This window comes from Homo sapiens, chromosome 19, assembly GCF_000001405.40.
Source record: "Homo sapiens chromosome 19, GRCh38.p14 Primary Assembly".
Lineage (NCBI taxonomy): Eukaryota > Metazoa > Chordata > Mammalia > Primates > Hominidae > Homo > Homo sapiens.
In genome coordinates, this window is record NC_000019.10 from 34125031 (window position 1) to 34150114 (window position 25084).

At 46.2% G+C, this 25084-nt stretch overlaps 1 pseudogene, besides 3 other annotated features; it reads left to right on the top strand.

Moving 5' to 3' along the window:
• Nucleotides 1616–2125: an enhancer, noted in NCBI's record as "H3K4me1 hESC enhancer chr19:34617551-34618060 (GRCh37/hg19 assembly coordinates)". NCBI's record gives its function as "activates a minimal SCP1, AML or CMV promoter by ChIP-STARR-seq in naive H9 embryonic stem cells {active_cell/tissue: H9 hESC(naive)}" and the evidence as "EXISTENCE:reporter gene assay evidence [ECO:0000049][PMID:30033119]".
• CHCHD2P3 (coiled-coil-helix-coiled-coil-helix domain containing 2 pseudogene 3) lies at nucleotides 1895–2683 on the top strand (annotated as a pseudogene).
• Nucleotides 9329–9738: a silencer, noted in NCBI's record as "silent region_10501". NCBI's record gives its function as "represses an Ori minimal core promoter by ATAC-STARR-seq in GM12878 lymphoblastoid cells {active_cell/tissue: GM12878}" and the evidence as "EXISTENCE:reporter gene assay evidence [ECO:0000049][PMID:35858748]".
• Nucleotides 9722–10257: an enhancer, noted in NCBI's record as "H3K27ac-H3K4me1 hESC enhancer chr19:34625657-34626192 (GRCh37/hg19 assembly coordinates)". NCBI's record gives its function as "activates a minimal SCP1, AML or CMV promoter by ChIP-STARR-seq in primed H9 embryonic stem cells {active_cell/tissue: H9 hESC(primed)}" and the evidence as "EXISTENCE:reporter gene assay evidence [ECO:0000049][PMID:30033119]".

The following is a 25084-nucleotide window of genomic DNA, read 5'->3' on the forward strand; positions in this document are numbered from 1 at the left end:
TCCCCTCTCCTCAGTCCAAGCACTTAGGATCCCCCTACCCTGACTGTTCATCTGGGCATGCTCAAGTTACATGACCTTTGACCTGGGGGTCCATGGCAACTGAAAAACAACTCACAACTTTGTTACATAAAAGTTGAGCCAGATTGATCTGGTGCAATTACACTTTCTTCCCTCAACAATCAATCCAGGGAAACAGCCATTTTAAGAACCTGCTACTCAGTACATATACATCTAATGAAAAGGGTTCTTATGAGCATATGTATTATATTTAAGCTATATATTTAATCTTCACCATGAGAAAACACAAATGATAAACATACCTTATCTCAAGTAATTACACCATATTCCCCACTACCTCTGCTCTCGAATGCACAGTTTAGCAGTTATTTGCGCTAAAATTATCCTTCTACACATCAAATCCACTAAAGGAGCTAGTCTCTTTTAAAGAAATGAACCTAATAATCTGTATGAATAAAACCATGTCCCAAATTCTCTATAAAGTATATTAAGAGCAGAACTATGATTTAATGCCAAGTAAATTTTAAATATTACACCTTAAAATGCATCATGTTCACATAAACAATTATATAACAGACTGGAAATTCAGGAGCTAATAATGCAGTTTTCAGCAACAAAATCAAAGTTCATTTCCTCCACAGCACCCCTGTCTCTACAGCCCACTCATATACTATGTATGAACAGCTTCCATATATATGATGTTTCTCAGTGGGTTTTCTCCAACCTGGGCAGCAGAGCAAAACCCTGTCTCAAAAAAAAAAAAAAAAAGAAAAAGGAAAGAAAGAAAAATGGCCAGGCACAGTGGCTCACACCTGTAATCCCAGCACTTTGGGAGGCTAAGGCTGGTGGATCACCTGAGGTCAGAGTTCAAGACCAGCCTGGCCAATATGGCGAAATGCTGTCTCTACTAAAAATACAAAAATTAGCCAGGTGTGGTGGTGTGCTCCTGTAATCCCAGCTACTCAGGAGGCTGAGGCACGAAAATCACTTGAACCCAGGAAGCAGAGGTTGCGGTGAGCCAAGGTTGCACCAGTGCACTCCAGCCTAAGCAACAAAAGCGAAACTCCATCTCAAGAAAAGAAAAAGAAAAAGAAATGTCATTTTCATTGAGCATTGGATCAATTTAGAAGTTGATATTCATAGAATAATAACCACATCACACTATCTTTCTAAAATTCCAACACAGAATAATAAGACCAATTACTGGGTATGCTCAGCCTGTGGGGGCCAAGAGGGCAGATATTCTCTGCATCTATCCCACTTGGAGAGTCCAGAGAAGCAGAGGATGTTTTCCAGGGAGGCTGCTGAGATGTAGGGCCCACCCAGGAAAGTCTGAGGGCTATCCTGGGAAAAGGATAAGGATAAGGATAACTCATTTTTTCAAAAAAGCAAGTGGGAGAGGCATTAGATTTAAAGTATTTGCCAAATACAAAGCAATTTCAAAGCCTTAAAAAATTCTACAAGATATTCATTCAACAAATATTGATAGGCCAGGTGTGGTGGCTCATGCCTGTAATCCCAGCACTTTGGGAGGCCGAGGCGGGCAGATCACCTGAGGTCAGGAGTTTGAGACCAGCCTGACCAACATGGTGAAACTCATCTCTACTAAAAACACAAAAAAATTATCTGGGCATGGTGGTGCACACCTGTAATCCCAGCTACTTGGGAGGCTGAGACAGAATAATCACTTGAATCCGGGAGGCAGAGGTTGCAGTGAGCTGAGATCGAGCCATTGCACTCCAGCCTGGGCAATAAAAATAAAAATACAGCTAATGGTGTTTCTTTCTCGGTGGCGGAATTCAGGGAGGATTATATATTTTCTAAATTTTATCACTGCAGTTTTCTGCATTGTTTGAGCTCTTTAAAATGAACAAAACGGCTTGTTTTCACACATCCAAATGCCGAGCCGCCAACACACCTAGGATGCCCCATGGAAGCTGAAGCCACACTTCCCACATGGCCCCTCTGGCCAGCCGGGCATCTCAGATGACAGCTGCATACAGGCCAGCACCTGCAGCTCAGCCGCCAACAGTGGCATCCACCTCTGCAGTTGGCTCTCCTGCTGCTGCTCCCCAGCAGCCAGGTCTGAGGGCCCAGATGGCAACCACTGCAGCTGACGTGGCTGTGGGCTCTGCTGTGGGGCACACACTGGGCCACGCCGTCACCGGGGGCTTCAGTGGAGGAAGTAATGCTGAGCCTGTAAGGCCTGACATCACTTACCAGTAGCCTCAGGGAATCCAGTCGGCACAGCAGCAGCGGCCTTGCTTCTATGAGACCAGTTTTTGGAGGATGCACAGAACCAGGGTGACAGAAAGCTCTGTGAGGGTTTCAGTGAGGTGCTGAAACAGTGCAGACCTTCAAACAGATTGGCCTAATCAAGAAGGTCAAATTGGAGTAATGAAAAATCAGCTCTCATAACCAAGTTAATTTAGTATAAAAATATAATTGATAGTGAAGGTATAAAGTGTAACCATCAGTTAAACCTCTCCTTGTCATTCATAGCTTCCTTGCTTCAGAATTGAAATGAAAGAAGGTGCTCTTACTGTGCAGAATTTCATTAAGGTCGTGTAGAATTTGGGGCTGGGCAAATGTTTGTGTAGCCTCCTTAAACTAGCTGTGATTTTATTCTCTGTGAGTTAATTAAAATAAAGTGATTTTCTTCCAAAAATAAAAATGAAAATGAAATGAATGAAATGAAAAATGTAATATCATTGTCATCAAACCAACACTGATTTTTCTTTAAAAAAAAAAAAAAAGATTTAAATTAAATATGCAAAAATGTTCACTGCTGGCTGGGTGAGGTGACTCATGCCAGTAATCCCAGCACTTTGGGTGGCCAAAGGGGTGGATCACCTGAGGTCAGGAGTTCGAGACCAGCCTGGTCAAAACGGCAAAAGCCTGTCTCTACTAAAAATACAAAAAATTAGCCAGGAGTGGTGGCGGGTGCCTGTAATCGCAGCTACTTGAGAGCCTGAGAAAGGAGAATTGCTTAAACCCGGGAGGCGGAGGTTGCAGTTAGGAGAGATCATGCCATTGCACTCCAACCTGGGTGACAGAGAGAGACTCTGTCTCAAAAAAAAAAAAAGTTAGCAGTGATTGATTCTCAGTGATAGGAATGTGGATGATTGTTGTTTTCTTTTCTTTTCTTTTCTTTTTGAGACAGAGTCTCACTCTGTCACCAGACTAGAGTGCATTGGTGGGATCTCAGCTCACTGCATCCTCCGCCTCCCGGGTTCAAGCAATTTTCCTGCCTCAGCCTCCCAAGTAGCTAGGACTATAGGCAGGTGCCACCAAGCCCGGCTAATTTTTCTATTTTTAGTAAAGACAGGGTTTCACTATGTTGGCCAGGCTGGTCTCAAACTCCTGACCTCACTATTGTCCTGCCTCACCCTCCCAAAGCGCTGGGATTATAGGTGTGAGCCACCGCACCCGGCCAAAAAAAATTTTTTTTAACCACAAAAAGGAAAACACTTGAAGTTGGGCTATAAAGGAAAGACTTCAGGGAAGACGGAAGATGAATTTGAATAAGGCCGTGAAAAATGAATAGGATTCATAAAAGCACAAAGAATGAGAAAGTTCGCGAAAGCTCAAGTAAACTAGTTTTGCTGACGAGACTATGGTTTAGTGAATAATTAGAAGGAAGCCTCAATACAGAATGAGGTCAACTCAGGGAGGACCATTAATGCCAGGATGAGAAGTCTGAGATTTATTTTATGGGCAATGAGAGCCACTTAAACGTTTAATGCAGGTCTTTCACATGATCAGTGTGGTATTTTAGGAAGACCACACTGGCATAGCATAAGCCCAGATGTGGGGAGGCTGTCACTAAACCCCTCAGTCTCCCTCTAGGATGCCTTTTTTAAAAATAAAAAATAATAACATGAGCTTTGGGAACAGAGTTACCCTCCAACAATAGTTGCTGGATGAACATCTCCATGACATTCACTGCTGCACATTCCTTGTTTAATTGGAAGAGACCACAGATGACCAAATCATAGGCTGACACATTCAAGCCCTGCCTTGTGATAAAACTAAATAAGACAGGGCTTACCCAGGGTAACCACAGGACAAGGGGGAGGAACCTTCCACTCTGCTCCCCAAGGGTAACCACTGAACAAGCAGGAGGAAACTTCCACTCTGCTCCCCGTTTCCTACATCCAGACAAAATGCCAGCATCCCTAGTCCACTTCATTTTGTTCTAGTCAAGTCCATTTTTTTTTTTTGAGATGAAGTCTCATTCTGTTGCCCAGGCTGGAGTGCAGTGGCACGATCTCGGCTCACTGCAAGCTCTGCCTCCCGAGTTCACGCCATTCTCCTGCCTCAGCCTCCCGAGTAGCTGGGACTACAGGCGCCCGCCACCACCCCCGGCTAATTTTTTGTATTTTTAGTAGAGATGGGGTTTCACTGTGTTAGCCAGGATGGTCTCGATCTCCTGACCTCGTGATCCACCTGCCTTGGCCTCCCAAAGTGCTGGGATTACAGGCTTGAGCCACTGCGCCTGGCCCTTTTTTTTTTTTTTTTAAGAGAGAGAGAGACAAGGTCTGACTCTGTTGCCCAGACTGGAGTACAGTGGCGAGATCTTAGCTCACTGCCAGCCTCTACCTCCTGGGCGCAAGCAATCCTCCAGCCTCATCCTCCTGAGTAGCTGTCTCCCTAGTAGTGTACCACCATGCCCTGCTAATTTTTTAATTTTCTAATAGAGATATTGCCCAGGCTGGTCTCGAACTCCTGGGTTTAAGCAATCCTCCCACCTCAGTCTCTGTAATCCCAGAGTGCTGGGATTACAGGCATGAGCCACAGCATCCAGCCTAATTTGTTAAATTTTTTATGAGCTCTGCGAGCATAATGTAAAGATCCCAATGCTGGTCCTCATCCTCTCCATGTACCTGCCATTGGTGTTCATGCTATTAGGTCTTAGGACTTTTGGGCTTCCTACCCTTTTGCTTTGCCTCTCTTTGGCTGTGATAGCAATGGTCATCTCTGCAGATTGGACAAAACCAATTGTATTAGTCCGTTCTCACGCTGCTATGAAGAAATACCCAAGACTAGGTAATTTATAAAGAAACGAGGTTTAATTGACTCACAGTTCTGCATGGCTGAGGAAGCCTCAGGAAACTTACAATCATGGAGGAAGGTGCTTCTTCATAGGGCTGCAGGAGAGAGAATGAGAGCAAGCAGGGGAAATGCCAGTTGCTTATAAAACCATCAGATCGGCTGGGCATGGTGGCTCATGCCTGTAATCCCAGCACTTTGGGAGGCCGAGGTGGGCAGATCACGAGGTCAAGAGATCAAGACCATCCTGGCCAACATGGTGAAACCCCGTCTCTACTAAAAATACAAAAATTAGTTGGGCATGGTGGCACGCGCCTGTAGGTCCAGCTACTTGGGAGGCTGAGGCAGGAGAATTGCTTGGACCCGGGAGGCGGAGGTTGCAGTGAGCCAAGATTGTGCCACTGCACTCCAGCCTGGCGACAGAGCAAGACTCCGTCTCCAAAAAAAAAAAAAAAATCAGACCCTGTGAGATTCACTCATTTTCACAAGAACAGTATGGGAGAAACCATCCCCATGATCCAATTACCTCCACCTGGTCCCGCCTTTGACATGTGGGTGGGACCTTTACAATTCAGTGTGAGATTTGGGTGGGGACACAGGGCCAAACCATATCACCAGTTATTGGCATTGGCATCTTGGCCTGTACTCTTTACCTTTTAGGGCTTTTTGTCCTGGAGCAGATGCCACAGAAAGACTACTGAAATGCTTATTTCTACCCCTCAAAACACTATAAACACAGGGGTGAGGCTGTGCAGGCTCTTCTGTTCTCCACCAAAGTGTTCTACACTTCATCATCTTGGGAAAGAAGCTTAATTCACACAGGCTCTCATTCTGTGCTTGGCATAAAGTATACCCAGCAGCAGAAAACCAGGAGGTTAACACTCAGTCTCAGACTTCTCTTCGTTTTGTTAAACACTCTAAAAAATGTAACAGGGCATGCTATGTCTTCCTGATCAAATATTATCAATATCTCCTAATATCCCAAATAAAATCTTTTGGAAGGAAAGAAACTAATATTTGTAAGGGGTATCTTGTGTGCCAGACTTTCTTCTAAGCAGTTTCCATACATTGTTTATTTAATCTCCAAAACAACCCTTTTAGTTGGGTATTTTTGTTTGTTGGTTGGTTTTTGTTTGAGACAGGCTCTCACTCTGTCACCCAGGCTGGAATGTAATGATGTCATCATAGCTCACTGTAGCCTCAACCTCCCAACCTCCCCAGCCCAAGTCATCCTTCCAGCTCAGCCTCCCAAGCAGCTGGAATGACAGGCACCAACCACCACATCAGGCTAATTTTTTAATTTTATGTAGAGATATTGCCCAGAGTGGTCTCAGACTCCTAGGCTCAAGTGATCCTCCCACCTCAGCCTCCCAGAGTGCTAGGATTACAGGCATGGCACTGGCCTCCAATCTGATTATTTCGATAAAAGTAATACTGTGGAAAGCCGACTAGCAGTAGCTGCTAAAATTAAACATATACATACCTTACGACCCAGAAATTTTACTTCTGCCAGGGCCTAGTGGTGCATTCCTGTAATTCTAGCACTTTGGGAGGCTGGGGTGGGAGGATCTCTTGAGCCCAGGAGCCGGAGGCTACATTTTGAGCTATGATCACACCACTGCACTCTAGCCTGGGCAGCAGAGCAAGACTCTGTCTCAAAAACAATTTTTTTTTAATGTAAAAAGAGTGTGAAATCTTTGGGATTTCCTCATGCACTCATATATTACATTTTATGGGGTTCACACAAACTAAACTTGGTAGTAGTACAATTATTTGATAAGAATATATTTTAGCTCCCTCTCCCTCTCCCTCTTTCCACGGTCTCCCTCTGGACTGTGCTGCTGCCATCTCGGCTCACTGCAACCTCCCTGCCTGATTCTCTTGCCTCAGCCTGCCGAGTGCCTGCGATTGCAGGCGCGCGCCGCCACGCCTGACGGGTTTTCGTATTTTTTTGGTGGAGACGGGGTTTCGCTGTGTTGGCCGGGCTGATCTCCAGCTCCTAACCGCGAGTGATCTGCCAGCCTCGGCCTCCCGAGGTGCCGGGATTGCAGACGGAGTCTCGTTAACTCAGTGCTCAATGGTGCCCAGGCTGGAGTGCAGTGGCGTGATCTCGGCTACAACCTCCACCTCCCAGCCGCCTGCCTTGGCCCCCCAAAGTGCCGAGATTGCAGCCTCTGCCCGGCGGCTACCCCGTCTGGGAAGTGAGGTGCGTCTCTGCCTGGCCGCCCATCGTCTGGGATGTGAGGAGCCCCTCTGCCTGGCTGCCCAGTCTGGAAAGTGAAGAGCGTCTCTGCCCGGCCGCCATCCCACCTAGGAAGTGAGGAGCGCCTCTTCCTGGCCACCATCCCATCTAGGAAGTGAGGGGCGTCTCTGCCCGGCCGCCCATCGTCTGAGATGTGGGGAGCGCCTCTGCCCCGCCACCCCGTCTGGGAGGTGAGGAGCGTCTCTGCCCGGCCGCCCCGTCTGAGAAGTGAGGAGACCCTCCGCCTGGCAACCGCCCCATCTGAGAAGTGAGGAGCCCCTCCGCCCGGCTGCCACCCCGTCTGGGAAGTGAGGAGCGTCTCCGCCCGGCAGCCACCCCGTCCGGAAGGGAGGTGGGGGGGTCAGCCCCCCGCCCGGCCAGCCACCCCGTCCGGGAGGTGAGGGGCGCCTCTGCCCGGCCGCCCCTACTGGGAAGTGAGGAGCCCCTCTGCCCAGCCAGCCGCCCCGTCCGGGAGGGAGGTGGGGGGGTCAGCCCCCCGCCCGGCCAGCCGCCACGTCCGGGAGGGAGGTGGGGGGGTCAGCCCCCGCCAGGCGAGACGCCCCGTCAGGGAGGGAGGTGGGGGGTCAGCCCCCTGCCCGGCCAGCCGCCCCGTCTGGGAGGTGAGGGGCGCCTCTGCCCGGCAGCCCCTACTGGGAAGTGAGGAGCCCCTCTGCCCGGCCAGCCGCCCCGTCCGGGAGGGAGGTGGGGGGGTCAGCCCCCCACCCGGCCAGCCGCCCCGTCCGGGAGGGAGGTGGGGGAGTCAGCCCCCCGCCCGGCCAGCCGCCCCGTCCGGGAGGTGAGGGGCGCCTCTGCCCGGCTGCCCCTACTGGGAAGTGAGGAGCCCCTCTGCCCGGCCACCACCCCGTCTGGGAGGTGTACCCAACAACTCATTGAGAACGGGCCATGATGACAATGGCGGTTTTGTGGAATAGAAAAGGGGGAAAGGTGAGGAAAAGATTGAGAAATCGGATGGTTGCCGTGTCTGTGTAGAAAGAAGTAGACATGGGAGACTTTTCATTTTGTTCTGTACTAAGAAAAATTCTTCTGCCTTGGGATCCTGTTGATCTATGACCTTACCCCCAACCCTGTGCTCTCTGAAACATGTGCTGTGTCCACTCAGGGTTAAATGGATTAAGGGCGGTGCAAGATGTACTTTGTTAAACAGATGCTTGAAGGCAGCATGCTCGTTAAGAGTCATCACCATTCCCTAATCTCAAGTACCCAGGGACACACACACTCTGCCTAGGAAAACCAGAGACCTTTGTTCACTTGTTTATCTGCTGACCTTCCCTCCACTATTGTCCTATGACCCTGCCAAATCCCCCTCTGCGAGAAACACCCAAGAATGATCAATAAAAATAAATAAATAAAAAATAAATAAATAAATAAAAAAGAATATATTTTATTGGCTGGGCACGGTGGCTCGCACCTGTAATCTCAGCACTTTGGGAGGCTGAAGCGGGCGGATCACCTGAGGTCAGGAGTTCGAGACCAGCCTGGCCAACATGATGAAACCCCATCTCTGCTAAAAATACAAAATTATCTGGGAGTGGTGGCGTGCGCCTGTAATCCCAGCTACTTGGGAGGCTGAGGCAGGAGAATCGCTTGAACACGGGAGGCGGAGGTTGAGCCGAGATCGCGCCACTGCACTCCAGCCTAGGCAACAAGAGTGAAACTCTGTCTAAAAATATATTTTTTTAAATTTGTTTTGTATCAAGAAAAAAATACGAAAACATAACTTTATTGTAGCAATCTAATGCAGGTGTCTTTTAAAACTATCTTTTATTTCCAGATGGGACTTGGGAATTTCTTTGTTTTATTTTTTAAATACATTATCTTTCACAAACTCGGGGAGGAACAACTGTTTTTTAACCAAAAACTCCTCACCCAGGAACAAGCAAACTGCCTGAGAGCTGCATCTATTTTGCAATAGTGCCCCTGAAGCGCGCACGACGCCGCAGGGTAGGCGTCCCGCTCCTGACTGGACTCGTGGCACGGTCCTAAATTTGCAGAGGGACCCAGGGAGGATCAACCCACTCGACACTGGCAATGTCCCCACCTTCCCTAGCTGCAAACTGAAACCAGCAGCCGAGCCTCCCGCTCTAGAGGCGCGGCGAGGGGCGTGGCCGCGGCTGGGGTGGGGCTAGGGGCCGGGTCGTGCCCCCCGAAACTGGGCCGTGCCCCCCGCCCACCTCACTGCGCCTGCGCCCGAGGGCGCGGGGCAGGCTGGGAAGTAGCGTTAAGGTGGTGGTTGGGTGCTTTGCGGGTCACTTGTTGCGCTGCCCGCACGTTTGTCGCGGCTCCTGGATGCCTCTTTGGCCGCCTCGCCTGTTCCGGCTCTCTTATCTGCCCAGTCTTCCCGGCCCCTGCCCCGGACCCTCCTGCGCGCCCCTCCGGCTGCCTGTGTGCGACCCCAGCAACCGGCCCGGGGTCTCGCCGGCGCCGTCAGGTCATCGTCCACCCGGCTTGTTCTCAGCTTACCGAGAACGCCCCAGCCCCTGCGCTCCTCCTGTCTTACTTGTGTTGAGTCATTTAATCCGCTTTGCAATTGAGACATTGAAACGGAGACGCTCAGGAACGTGCTTCAGGTCACAGATCCAAGATGAGTTAGGGCCTGGAATTGAGTCGGGCTGCCTGCCACCATTCCACCTTGCATGTCACACCTGGACGAATACCCTGTGCTTCACCTAAATTCGCCTAAATTTTCACTATTTCTTTTTATTTTCTTTTCTTTTTTTTTTTTTTTCTTGATACAAGGTCTTGGTAGCCCAGGCTGGAGTATATTGGCGTGACCAGAGCTAGCTCACTGGAGCTTTGAACTCCTGGGGCTCAAGTGATTCTCCCGCCTCAGACTCCCAAATAGCTGAGGCTACAGGCGCAGGCCACTACACCCGGCTAATTATGACATTTTTGTAGAGGGGGCGGTCTCACTATGTTGCACAGGCTGGTCTCCAACTCCTGGGCTCAAAAGATCTCCCACCTCGGCCTCCAAAAGTGCTGGGATTACCGGCGTGAGCCACCGCATCCGGCCTGTTCACTATTTCTTTTTTCTTGACTTTCTTCTTTTTTTTTTTTTTTCGGAGGCAGAGTCTCACTCTGTCGCCCAAGCTGTAATGCAGTGGCGCAATCTCGGCACACTGCAACCTCTGCCTCCCGGATTCGAGTGATCGCCTCAGCTGGGATTACAGGTGCCTGCCACCACGCCTGGCTAATTTTTGTACTTTTAATAGAAACAGAGTTTTGCCATAATGGCCAGACTGGGCTTGAACTCCCGACCTCAAGTGATTCACCCTCCTCGGCCTCCGTAAGTGCTGGGATTACAGGTGTGAGCCACTGCGCCTGGCCTGTACACTATTTCTTAATCCCTGCCAGGGCGGTGTTATCTTTGCAGCTGAGAGTTCTAAGTGACTTGACAAAGGACACTAGCGCAACTTTAATAGCAAAGCCTGGGCCATTTCCACCACCACATGTGTGGCCTGTGTTCTTTCCCACACCTTTTAAAATTTTAAACAGCCTTATTGAAGTGCTGGTGTAAAGCCTGTACATATTTAAAGCATACAGTTTGCCTTTTACATATGTGTGTATACATCCCTGAAACCACCACCACAATCAAGAGAATGAACATAAAAGTTTCCTTCTGCTCATTTATAATCCTTCCTCCCAGTCACAGCCTACCGTATCAGTCCCTCAGATAACAGTGAATCTGCTTTTGGTCACCGTGGATTAGTTTGCGTCCTGTAGAATTATATGTTAAGGAATCATATACTATCTGCTTTTTCTCAGGGTAGAGGACAGTTACTGAGGCCAAGGGGTCACTTCATGATGAGCATAGAGGCCAATACTATGGCATGAGATTTTGAGAAAAGGAAAGCTTTATTGCCAGTTGACCAGCAAGGAGACAGGAGGCCAGATCAAGTCTATCTCCCCATGCTGGCCTTAAGGCAGTACATTTATTAGGAAGGTTTAGGGGATGAGTTAGGGATCAACAGGTAGAAAGAAAGGGGAGGTCTGGAAAGTCCTTGGGCATGCACAGTTGTCTCTTGATGGGTTGCATGTGCAAATCCAGGATGCGAGAGTGAATATGGAACATGCTGCGGAAGTTCAGACTGTGATGTCAGCAGCCTCTTTCTGCACAGACTCCAGTTGGCCATGTTGGTTCCAACTGATTTCAGCCAGTTTCGTTCTCTTATAATTAAAGGGAGTTTCTGCAAAATGTTTCTTGTCTTATCTGCCATCATGTAAGCTCAAGAATTCCTGGCGGGGTGTGGTGGCTCACGCCTGTAATCCCAGCACTTTGGGAGGCCGAGGTGGCTGGATCACCTGAGGTCAGGAGTTCGAGACCAGCTGACCAACATGGTGAAATCCCGTCTCTACTAACACCACAAAAATTAGCTGGGCATAGTGGCAGACGCCTATAATCCCAGCTGCTCCGGAGGCTGAGGCAGGAGAATCGCTTGAACCCGGGACAAGGTTGCAGTGAGCTGAGATCACACCACCGCACTCCAGCCTGGGGGACAGAGCAAAATTTTATCTCAAAAAAAAAGAATTCCTGTTAGTCACCTGTTTAACCCTTTGGGGTACGATTTCACTTCTTAGCTCTGTGCTTGCAAAATAATTAGACATCCTGTTATCAAGAAAGTATGGCCAGATAAAACTGGTCTGGAAGTTACACAGTCAAGCTTAACTATTTTGAAATTCACCCATGTTGCTGAATAGATCAGTAGTTCATTTCTTGTCATTGCTGAGTAGAATTCCATTGTATTGATATACTGCAATTTTTTAAATCCATTCCTCCATTGTTCACTTTTCAGTTTCTGGCTATAACAAACAAAACTTCTATCAACATGGGTGTGCAAGTCTTTGTATGAATGTACCCTTTTATTTGGATTAATAGCAGTGAAATGGTTGTGTCAAACAGTGGGTGTATGTTCAACTTTTTAAGAAACTGCCAAACTTTTTCAGATGAGATCAGGTGTGTTTAGGGTGATATGGCCATAGACCCAAACTATTTTTCAAAGTGGTTGTTCCAGACCAGGCATGGTGGCTCATGCCTGTAATCCCAGCACCTTGGGAGGCTGAGGTAGGCGGATCACCTGAGGTCAGGAGTTCAAGACCAGCCGGGCAAACAGGGCAAAACCCTGTCTCTACTAAAAGTACAAAAATTAGCCAGGCATGATGGCGGGTGCCTGTAATCCCAGCTACTTGGGAGACTGAGGCAGGAGAACCAGGAGGAGGAGGTTGCAGTGAGCTGAGAGTACACCACTGCACTCCAGCCTGGGTGACAGAGTGAGACTCATCTCAAAAAAAAGAGAAAAACACAAAGTGGTTATTCCATTTCACATTCCCACCAGAAGTGAATGAGAGTTCTAGATCCATATGTCCAACACTTGTTAGACATTCTAAAAGTATGTAGTGGTATCTTGCTGTAGGTTTAATTTTTATTTATCTAATGACATTAAGCATCCTTGGCTGGGTATGGTGGCACACGCTTGTAATCCCAGTACTTTGGGAGGCCAAGGCAGGAGGATTGCTTGAGTTCAGAAGTTCAAGACCAGCCTGGGCAACATGGCAAAGCCCCTTCTCTATTTTTTTTAATTTTTAATATAAAAAAATTTATACCCAGCACTTTGGGATGCCAAAGTGGGCAGACGGTTTGAGCTCAGGAGTTCAAGACCAGCCTGGGCAACATGGCAAAACCCCATCTCTACAAAAAAATACAAAACTTAGCTGGGCATGGTGGCCTGAGCCCATAGTCCCAGCTACTGGGGAGGCTGAAATGGAAGGATTACTTGAGCCCAGGAGGTGGAGGTTGCGGTAAGCCAAGATCGCGCAACTGCACTCCAGTCTGGGCGACAGAGTGAGACGCTGTCTCAAAAAATATATATATATAAAATTTTAAAAAGACACTAAGCATCCTTTCATGAGCCTATTTTCCATTCATATATATATTTTTGGTGACGTGTGAATTCAAATATTTTGCCCATTTTTAAAATTAGTTTATTACTATTCATAAAAATCTGGGTTTCAGATTTTTATGTTTAATTATCTTTTTTTCAGATATTTGTTTAATTATCTTTTTTTTTCGAGGCAGGGTTTTGCTCTGTCACCCAGGCTGGAGTGCAGTGGTGCAATCACAGCTGGCTGCAGTCTCAACCTCCCAGGCTCAATCAATCCTCCCACTTCAGCCTCCTGAGTAACTGGGAATACAGGTGCAAGCCATCACACCCGGCTAATTTTTGTATTTTTTGTAGAGACAGGGTTTCGTCACATTACCCAAGCTGGTCTCAAACTCCTGGGCTCAAGCAATCTGCCTGCCTCAGCCTCCCAAAATGCTGAGATTACAGGTGTGAACCACTGTGCCCAGCCCTCATAAATATTTCCTTCCCTCATAAATATTTTCTTCCTCATAAATATGGCCTTCATAAATAATGTCCTTTTATTCTCTTAAAAGCATATTTCAAAAGCATTCTTAATTTCAATAAAGTTTAATTTGCCAATTTTTTTTTTTTTTTTTTTGAGATGGAGTCTCGCTCTGTCTCCCAGGCTGGAGTGCAGTGGTGTGGTCTGGGCTCACTGCAGCCTTCACCACCTGGGTTCAAGCAATTCTCCTGCCTTAGCCTCCCAAGTAGCAGGGATTACAGGCACACACTGCCGCGCCTAGCTAGTTTTTGTATTTTTAGTAGAGACGGGGTGGCCAGGCTAGTCTCGAACTCCCGACCTTAGGTGATGCACCCACCAAGGCTTCCCAAAGTGATCTGTCAATATTTTGATTTGTAGCTTTTGTCTTTAGTGTCCTATCTAACAAATATTTGCGTAACCCAAAGATTTTCTCCTGTATTATATTTTTCTCTTGAACTTTTTTTTTTGTTTGTTTTTTAAGATGGAATCTTGCTCTGTCGCCCAGGCTGGAGTGCAGTGGCACAATCTTGGCTCACTGCAAGCTCCGCTTCCCAGGTTCACGCCATTCTCCTGCCTCAGCCTCCTGAGTAGCTGGGACTACAGGCACCCGCCACCACGCCCAGCTAATTTTTTTTTTTTTTTATTTTTAGTGGAGACGGGGTTTCACCGTGTTAGCCAGGATAGTCTCGATCTCCTGACCTCGTGATCCACCCGCCTCAGCCACCCAAAGTGCTGAGATTACAGGCGTGAGCCACCGCTCCCGGCCTTCTCTTGAACTTTTCTAGTTCTAAGTTTTAGAATTACATCCATGATCTACTATGTTAATTTTTATATATAGTGTTAGATAAGGGTCAAAGTTAACTTTTTGCATATAGATATCCAATTATTTCAGCCGTTTGTTAAAAATATTTTTTTTTTTTCTGAATTGCCTTTGCCACTTTGTTGAAAATTAATTGATCACATAAATTTGAGTTTTTTATGGAATCTCCATTCTGCTCATTGACCTATTTATATGTCTTGACACTGATAGCACATGGTCTTGATTATCATAGCTTTATAGTAAGTCTTGAAATCAGATAAGTTTTGTTTGTTTGTTTGTTTGTTTGTTTTTGAGATGGAGTTTTGCTCTTGTTGCCCAGGCTGGAGTGCAATGGCGCAACCTCAGCTCACTGCAACCTCCGCCTCCCGGGTTCAAGCGATTCTCCTGCCTCAGCCTTCCAAGTAGCTGGGATTACAGGCACCCACCACCACGCCCAGCTAATTTTTTTGTATTTTTAGTAGAGGCGGGGTTTCACCATGTTGGCCAGGCTGGTCTTGAACTCCTGACCTCAGGTGATCTGCCCGCCTCGGCCTCCCAAAGTGCTGGCATTACAGGCATGAGCCACTGCGCCCAGCCGAGATCAAATAGTTTTAATCTTCCAACTATTTTTTTCTCAAAGTTGTTTTGTCTACTCCATGTCCTTTGCATTTCTAAATGAATCTTAGAATCAGCTTATCCAGATCAACAAAAAAAGCCTACTGGGATTTGACTGAAATTCCAGGGAATCTGAAGATCAATATAGGGCAAATTAACACCTTAAAAATATGGTCTTTCAAACTCTATGGATATGGTGTATATTTCCATCTACTTAGATATTCTGTAATTTCTCTCAGAAATGTTTTGTGCTTTTCATGAGCAGGCCTTGCACATCTTTGGTCAGATTCATTCCTAAGTGTATCATACTTTTGTGCTCTTTTAAATTGTTTTTGTTTGTATTTTAGAAACAGGGTCTCACTCTGTCACCTGGCTGGAGTGCAGTGGCAGGATCATAGCTCACTGAAACCTCAAACTCCTGGCCACAAGCAATCCTCCTGCCTCAGCCTCCCAGAGTGATGGGATTACAGGCATGAGCCACTGTGTCCAGACTATTTTTAATTTTTTAATTTAAAACTTATTTAAAAATTTTAATTTAATTAAAATGTATTTTAAATTTTTAGTTTTTTGCTAATATATAGAAACATAATTGATTTTTGTCTATTGATCTTGTATCCTGAAAATTTGCTTATTAGAATAGCTTTTTATACATTCGATAGGATTTTCCATGTAGACAATCATGTCAACTGTGAATAAAGACCATTCTCTTCTTCCTTTCCAGTCTGGATGCCTTTTATTTCTTTTTCTTGCCTATTGCACTGGTTTGAACCTACAGTACAATTCAGTGGGAGAATGGGTGGTCTTTTCACTAAATGAGTCTGGGTCAATTAGATACTAATATAAAAAAATGAATCTTATAAACCAAATAGTATCTGAGATAGGTCTCAATCAATTTAGAAGTTTATTTTTCCAAGGTTAAGGACTTGAGAAAGGTCCGTGCATTTCTCCAAAGATGACTTTAAAGGCTTCAATATTTAAAGGGAAAAAGCAGGCTGGAGGGAAAACAGGGAGGGAATGGTCACGTTACTAAATCCACGTGTCGCAAGAGAAAAAGAGCACATAAGGGAGTGAATAGTCAATCATGTTATTAGTCTCCTGCTCAGTAAATCAGCACTTTACATAAGATAAGGTGAACAAAGCATAGCTACCTGTGGAGATCTTTAACCTTTTATCCACAGCTCTCTGCTTAGGAACAAAAGGAAAGTTCGTTTCTTGCCTGATTCAGCTTTCAGCTTAATTTTTTCTCCTTTTGGCATTGTGAATTATTTTTTTCTGTGTACTCTCACAGAATGGAATGGCATAGTGAATTGGGGTCCCAAGTTTCTATTTTTCTTTCACAACCTTTACCCCTACCTAACACCAAACACAAAATTTAATTTGAGAAGCATCATCGACCTCAATGTGAAAGGCAAACCAAGAACACTGTTAAAGAAAATATAACAGATCAGGTTAATGTGTAAGCATAGGCAAAGATTCCTTAAACAGGATGCAAATACCAATAACCATGAAAGAGTAATAATTTATAGAATAAGTTTCAGTTGTAAATTAATTAGTAAAATGTGTGTACCTCAAAAAACACCATTAAGAAGGTGAAAAGGTAAGTGACGGGCCAGGAGAACACATTGCAAAACATGTGTCAAAGAGCCCTAGTAATTGATAAGAAAAAGACTGGACAACCAATTTTTCTTTTTCTTTTTTTTTTTTTTTTTTTCTTTTTTGAGACAGCGTCTTGCTCTGTCACCCAGGAGTGCGGTGGCGCGATCTCGGCTCACTGCAACCTCTGTCTCCTGGATTCAAGCGATTCTCCTGCCTCAGCCTCCCCAGTAGCTGGGACTACAGGCTCGTGCCACCACGCCCGGCTAATTTTTTGTATTTTTTGTAGAGATAGGGTTTCACCATGTTAGCCAGGATGGTCTCAACCTCCTGAACCTCCTGACCTCGGGATCCATCCACCTCAGCCTCCCAAAGTGTTGGGATTACAGGCGTTAGCCACGCCCAATTTTTTTAGAGGAGGGGAGGGGCAGAGGCGTGCCCTGACCTTCACCAAAGAGGATAGCCACAGGCCAATAAGCAGAAGAAAAGGTGTTTAGCATCATTAGTCCATTTGCAAATTAAAACCAGGACAGAGATACTGTTGCAGGGCATGTGGACCCCAAAATTGGGGCTTAACCCAGGAGGGTTCTTGGCTTTGCCCAGAAGAGAATTCAAGGGTGAGCCGGTGGTGTTAGCAACTTTTCTTGAAGCAGCCGTGAATAACAGCAGCAGAGGGGCTGCTCCTGCAGAGCAGGGCCACCCACAGGCAGTGTGCCCAGAGGAGCAGCTCAGAGGCAGTGCTGCAGTCACGCTTATACACACTTTAAATTATATGCAAATTAAGGGACAGATTATGCAGAGATTTTTAGAAAAAGCATGGTAACTTCTGGGTCATCAGGTCATCGCCATGGAAAGGGATGGTAACTTCTGGGTGGTGCCATGGCAATGGTAAAGTGACAGGCCACACCACTGGGTGTGTCTTATGGAAAGCTGCTTCTGCTCAGACACTGTTTTAGCTAGTCCTCAATTTGGTCCAGTGTCCAAGCTCCACCTGCAGGGTTGAGTCCTGCTCCCTGTCACAATACCACTACAAACCAACCTGCTCAACCCCACCATGGTGCAACCACTTAGGAAAACACACGGCATCTACTAAAGCTGAACATATTCACTCTATGACCTAGCAGCTCCATTCTTAGTATATATCCAACATGAGTGCTATGTCCACCAAAACACATGTATGATAATGTTCATAGAAGTTTTATTCATAATAGCCAAAAACTGGAAACAATTCAAACGTCCATCAACAATAGAATGAATAAATAGATTGTATCCATACAATGGAATACAGTCGTGTGCCACTTAACGATGGATATACGTTCTGAGGAATGTGTCATTAGGTGATTTCATCGTTGTGCAAACCTCATAGTGCACTTACACAAACCTAAATGGCCTGGCCTTTACCTACCTATGCTATATGGTATCGTCTATTACTCCTAGGCCCCTAAATTAATTGCACAGGATGTTACTGTACTGAACACTGTGGGCAACTGTTACACAGTAGTAAGTATTGGCCAGGTGCAGTGGCTCATGCCTGTAATCCCAGCACTTTGGGAGGATGAGGCAGGTGGATTGCTTGACGTCAGGAGTTCAAGACCAGCCTGACCAACATGGTGAAACGCTGTCTCTACTAAAAATACAAAAATTAGTTGGGTGTGGTGGTGGGTGCCTGTAATCCCAGCTACTCAGGAGGGTGAGGCAGGAAAATCTGAAGCCAGGAGGCAGAGATTGCAGTGAGCCGAGATCTGTGCCACTGCACTCCAGCCTGGGCAACAGAGCAAGACTCCATCTAAAAAAACAAAAAATAAAAAAAATTAAGTGTTTGTGTATCTAAACATATCTAAACATAGAAAATGTATAGTAAAAATACAATATAAAAGATTTTTCAAAAGGTACATCTGTGCATGACACTTACGATGATGGAGCTTGCAGGACTGAAAGTTACTCCGGGTGTGTGAGTGAATGAGTGGTGAGTGAACGTGAAGGCCTAAGACATTACTGTACACTACTCTCAACTTTATAAGCACTGTACACTTAGGCCACACTAAATTTATTTTTTAATGTTTTTATTTGTTCCATAATAAATTAATTTTAGCTTACTGTAACTTTATAAGCTTTTTTAATGTTTGACTTTTGTAGTCTTGTAACACAGCTTAACACATTGTACAGCTGCAAAAAAAATTTCTTTCTTTATATCCTTATTCCATGAATCTTTTCTATTTTTATTTTATTTTATTTTATTTTTAGTTTTTAATATAAACACACACATAAGCCCGGGTCTACACGGGATCAGGATCATCAATATCATTGTCTTCCACCTCAACATCTCGGCCCACTAGAAGGTCTTCAGGGACAATAACACTCATGGAGCTGTCACCTCCTGTGATCATAATAATGCCTTCTGGATACTTCCTGAAGGACCTGCCTCAGGCTGCTTTCCAGTTAACCTTTTTTATATAAGTAGAAACAGTACATTCAAAAATAACAATTAAAACTATTGTTTTAATTGGCACAGTGGCTCAAGCCTGTAATCCCAGCCCTTGGGGAGGCCGAGGTTGGGCAGATCACCTGAAGTCATGAGTTCAAGACTGGCCTGGCCTACATGGTGAAACCCCGTTTCCACTGAAAATACAAAAAATTAGCTGAGCATGGTGGCAGGCACCTGTAATCCCAGCTACTTGGGAAGTTGAGGCAGGAGAACCGCTTGAACCAGGGAGGCAGAGGTTGCAGTGAGCCAAGATTTTGCCACTGCACTCCAGCCTGGGCGACAAAAGCAAAATTCCATCTCAAAAAATAAAATGAGTACGGTATAGCACATACACATACAAAATGCTTATGAAAGAAATCCAAGACTTGAATAAATGAAGAGACATGCCATGTTCATGGACTATAAGACTCAACACAGTAAAGACGACAATCAGCCCGAAAATGATATACAGGTTTAATGCAATTCCAATTGCATTGTTACTGAAGATACCGTTTGCTAGAGGGCATGAAGCTTTTAAGTCGGCGCAGCTCATGCACCTGCTCAATGCAGATCTTGTCTTCTTGTACCTGAGCCCTCTGCTGAGTTAACTGCTACAAAGCTTCCTGCTGGTGGAATGCCTGATTCTGCCTTGCTGGTGTGTGTGGTTCCTGCCGTGAGTCCTTCTGAACAGGCCACTTGAATCAATGTTTTTTGTTTGTTTTTGTTTTTGAGATGGAGTCTCACTCCATCACCCAGGCTGGAGTGCAGTGGCAAGATCTTGGCTAACTGCAACCTCCGCCTCCTGGATTCAAGCGATTCTCCTGCCTCACCCTCCCAAGTAGCTGGGACTACAGGTGCATGCCACCACACCTGGCTAATTTTTGTTTTTTTTTTTTTGGTAGAGATGGGATTTCACCATGTTGGCCAGGCTGGTTTCAAACTCCTGACCTCAAGTGATCCACCCACCTCGGCCTCCCACAGTTCTGGAATTACAGGAATAAGCCACCGCACCCGGCCCGTGAATCAATGTTTAGTTGAATATAAGAAGACCCCGGTGAGCATTGCAGAGTGGTGGCGACAGTAAACTAAACTTTCAGTCCCTACACTCCATTTGGCCAATGAACTATGAGATGACAGGGATAAGGAAGGAAATGTAGACGAGGCTTTGAATGCCTCGGTAGGAGGGTCCATTTGCCCAGCCCCTGGTATGAGAAGCTCTGCAGCCCACGATGGGGAGCAGATGTGGGTTGAAATGAAACCAAATTCATGCTAAGAGGAGAAACTGCTCAGTGTTCATGAAGGGGACCCGGGTAGAAACCCACCTGCGGCCGGGCTGTGGGGACGGATTCATGTCTGGCTGGGATGGGTATTGGGGGTGGAAGGCGAAGACAACGGAATGACCCTGCAGACCCCGTGCTTGGGATGGGACTACCACTTGACAAAGCAGGGGAACGGCCAGACTCACTCCAACTCCTCCAAACTCCAATTTACGGGCGAGAAACGTTTGGGAACCCCCAAGACCCTGTAGAGCCAAAGCAGACAGGCAAGGCTACAATGGCAACAGTTTAGTAGGATTTGGTGAAATCCCATTAAAACGTTCAAGAAAGCTCTCCGCGTGTGGGAAGGGGTAACCTAAACAGCATCCCTGAGTCTGAAAAGCTATGGGCTAAGGGTGCACAAGTCAATTGAACCCTGTGTTGGAGTCGGACCAGTGTCCTCTGCCGCCATCTAGTGGAAATACACAGGAATGCGGACATTTTCTAAAGTGACAGATTTTTTAAGCAGTCATAAATTATTGTTTATTTTAAAGGTTTAAGCCATACCTTAAGACTGGATAAAACCCTTCATTTACATATGGCAGACAGAGGGAAAATACACTTTTTATAAAATGCTTAAACAACTTTCACTGTAGTAAGTTGGTTTGGTTAAAAACTATCATGTGATATCATTTGATGTAAAATATCTAGGCCGGAAAAAATGTATATATATCTAGGCCGGGCACAGTGGCTCATGCCTGTAATCCCAGCACTTTGGGAGGCTGAGACGGGTGGATCACTTGAGGCCAGGAGTCTGAGACCAGCCTGGCCAATATAGAGAAACCCTGTCTCTACTTTAAAAAAAAAAAAAAATAGCGGGGTGTGGTGGCACACGCTTGTAATCCCAGCTACTCGGGAGACTGAGACATGAGAATCACTTGAACCCAGGAGGGGGAGGTTGCAGTGAGCTGAGATCGCGCCTCTGCACTCCAGCCTGGGTGACAGAGTGAGACTCCATCAGAAAGGAAGAGAAGAAGAGAGAAGGAGAGAAAAGAAGAGAGAAGGAGAGAGGAAAGAAAGAAAAAGAAAGGGAAAGAAAGAAAAGAAAAGAAAAGAAAAGAAAAAATGCTTAGAATTCACGGAATAAAAGGAGTATTGCATGCATTATAAAAACTAATGGCAAAAACTATTTCAGTTGCCCAGCATATGGGGGGACATCCCATTGGGGAATAGAAATAGAAATACAAATCCTGATGATCACCAAATGTACTAACTTGTTTTTTTGTTTGTTTGTTTTTTGTTTTTCTGAGACAGTCTCACTATGTCACCCAGGCTGAAGTGCAGTGGTGTGATCATAGCTCATTGCAGCCTCAAACTCCTGGGCTCAAGCAGTTCTCCTGCCTCAGCCTCCCCAGTACCTGGGACTACAGGCGCATGCCACCATACCTGGCTAATTTTTTTGTAGAGACAGGGTCTCATCATGTTGCCCAGGCTGGTTTTGAACTCTTGGGCTCAGGCAATCCTCCTGCCTCAGCCTCCCAAAGTGCTGGAATTACAGGCATGAACCACCGCACCCAGCCTGAACTTGTCCTTTTTTGTTAAAGGTGTTAACCAAAGTCTTGGAGGTACACCACTGGCAAAAGTTTAACAAAATGCTTCTGCATGAGAATCTAACCTTAGGGTTAGTTCCCTGAAAGCATGTGTCAACTACGTTGCTAGGCAACATTGCTTAGAGTAAAAATGATCATTGGTACCTTGTACCTGGAATCACCAGGTAGTCGTATGTGGTATTTATACCAGTTTTTGCTTTCTGAGTGTGGAATTTTTGTAACTGGGCATGTCCCTTGCAGAGACCCTGGAAGCTATGTTTATGGAATTGTTATGGGATGGTCTCCTGTGAGGCATCGGGCTTTTAAATCAGGAACGCTGGAAGCAGTGGCTCATGCCTATAATCCCAGCACTTTGGGAGGTTGAGGTAGGAGGCTTGTTTGAGCCCAGGAGTTCGAGACTAACATGGGGAACATAGTGAGACTCCATCTGTACAAAAAAAAAAAATTTAATTAGCCAGGTATGGAGGCATGCACTTGTGGTCCCAGCTACTGGGGAGGCTGAGGCAGGAGGAGCGCTTGAGCCCAGGAGTTAGAAGCTGTGATGAGCCACGATTGTGTCACTGCACTCCAGCCTGGGTGACAGAGTGAGACCCTGTCTCAAAAAAATTGATGAAGCCATCATTTAGGGCAGCTCTCCTAAAGGCCCAGTGTAGATCTCGCCTGTCTCCTTGTATCTACTGAGTGAACTGCATCAAGGACACTAGATTAGAGGAATGACTACCTGAAGGAAGCCGCTTTGATAACAGCTAGGGCCCCTGCGCTTCATCCTTCTAAATACTCTGAATGTGACTCCTGGTCATCTCGTGAGTTTGAATAAGCCCAAGAAGACCACTAGTGGGGATTGCATAAGTTACATCAGCCAAAATGATTCTTCTTTTCTTTTCTTTTGAGACAGAGTCTCACTCTGTCTCACAGGCTGGAGTGCAGTGGCCCAATCTCTGCTCACTGCAACCTCCACCTCCCGGGTTGAAGTGATTCTCATGCCTCAGCCTCCCAAGTAGCTGGCATTATAGGTGCCTGTCACCACACTCAGCTATTTTTTGTATTTTTAGTAGAGATGGGGTTTAGCAATGTTGGCCAGGCTGGTCTCGAACTCCTGACCTCAAGTGATCTGCTGGCCTCAGCCTCCCAAAGTACTGGGATTACAGGCATGAGCCACTGCGCTGGGCCCTCTTTTGTCTTCTTTAATTTGGAATGCTTCTTTAACTTTTTTTATTTTTCCTTTCATGACATGGACATTTTGAAGAGTACAAGCCTATTGTTTTAGTAGAATGTCCTTCAATTTCGCTTTGTCTGATGTTTCCTCATAGTCAGATTCTGGGTTGGGGCTTCCCCTACTTTAGGGAAGTCCACTCTGATACCCTCCCCAAGCCTTGCTCTCAAGTTCACAGCCAAGGGGTCAAACCCATTGGAGTCTGCCCACTGCCACCTTCTGGAGCACAGGTTGGCAAATTTTTTCTCTGAAGGACCAGAGAGTAAATATTTTAGGATTTGCAGGCCAAGTGGTCTGTGTCACAATTTGACTTTGCCATCGTAGCCTGAAAGCAGCTACAGATAACACATAAATGAATTAGCATGACTATATTCCAATAAAATTTTATTTACAAAAAACAAGTGAAGGGCCAGATTTGGCCCCTGACTCTAACCCATGTCCCAGCCCCCAAAACCTCCAGAGTTCCATGCCCAAACAGCCTCCAGTCTGTTTCCAGGGTAGGCCTCTCTTTCCTGCATGCTGTATCCTGAGGGGCATCATATTGCCATGTGGGTGTATGTTTTCCCTAGACTAAGAGGTGGCTGGGTTTTGTTTTGCTTTGTTTGAGATTGAGTCTGGCGCTGTCGCTCAGGCTGGAGTGCAGTGGCACGATTTCAGCTCACTGCAACCGCCGCCTCCCAGGTTCAAGTGATTCTCATGGCCTTGTCAGCCACTGCACCCGGCCAAGGTGGCTGTTTTGAGGGCAGATGTGGATACACAAGCTGAAGTGTCTGCAAGAGTGCAGGTGAAGATTCAAGGAATCCTCCCACCGCAGCCTCCCAAGTAGCTAAGACCAAAGGCATGCGTCACCATGCCTAGCTAATTTTTTAAAAAATTTTTAGAGGCCGGGTGCAATGCCTCACGCCTGTAATCTCAGCTCTTTGGGAGGCCAAGGCAGGCAGATCGCTTGAAGTCAGGCGTTCAAGACCAGCCTGGCCAAAATGGTGAAACCCCATCTCTAATAAAAATACAAAAAAAAAAAAAATAGCCTAGCATGGTGGTGGACACCTGTAGTCCTAGATACTCAGCAGACTGAAGCAGGAAAATCACTTGAACCCAGGAGGCAGAGGTTGTAGGGAGCCAAGATCACGCCACTGCGCTCCAGCCTAGGCAACAGCGTGAAACTCCATCTCAAAATAAATAAATAAATAAAATAAAAAATAAAAATAAAAATAAATTGTTTTGGCCAGGCACAGTGGCTCACACCTATAATCTCATCACTTTGGGAGACTGAGGCAGGCAGATTGCTTGAGCCCAGGAGTTCAAGACCAGCCTGGGCAACATGGTAAAATTTTGTCCCTAAAAAAAAATTTGCTTTTCCTAGCTGGCACAGGCCAGGTGTGGTGGCTCACGGCTGTTATCTCAGCACTTTGGGAGGCCGAGATGGGCAGATCACTTGAGGTCAGGAGTTCAAGACCAGCCTGGCCAACATAGTGAAACACTGCCTCTACTAAAAATACAAAAATTAGCCAGGCATGGTGGCACACACCTGTAATCCCAGCTACTTGGGAGTCTGAGGCAGTAGAATTGCTTGAGCCCAGAAGGCAGAGGTTGCAGTGAGAAAAGATTGTGCCACTGGACTACAGCCTGGGTGACAGAGCGAGACTCCATCTTGAAAAAATAAAAAAAAATTAGCCAACGTGGTGATGCATGCTTTTAGTCCCAGCTATTCGGGAGGCTGAGGTAAGAGGATTGCTTGAGCCTAGGAGTTCAAGGCTGCAGTGAGCCGTGATTGCATCACTGCACTCCACTCTGGGTGACAGAGCAAGACCCTGTCTTGACAA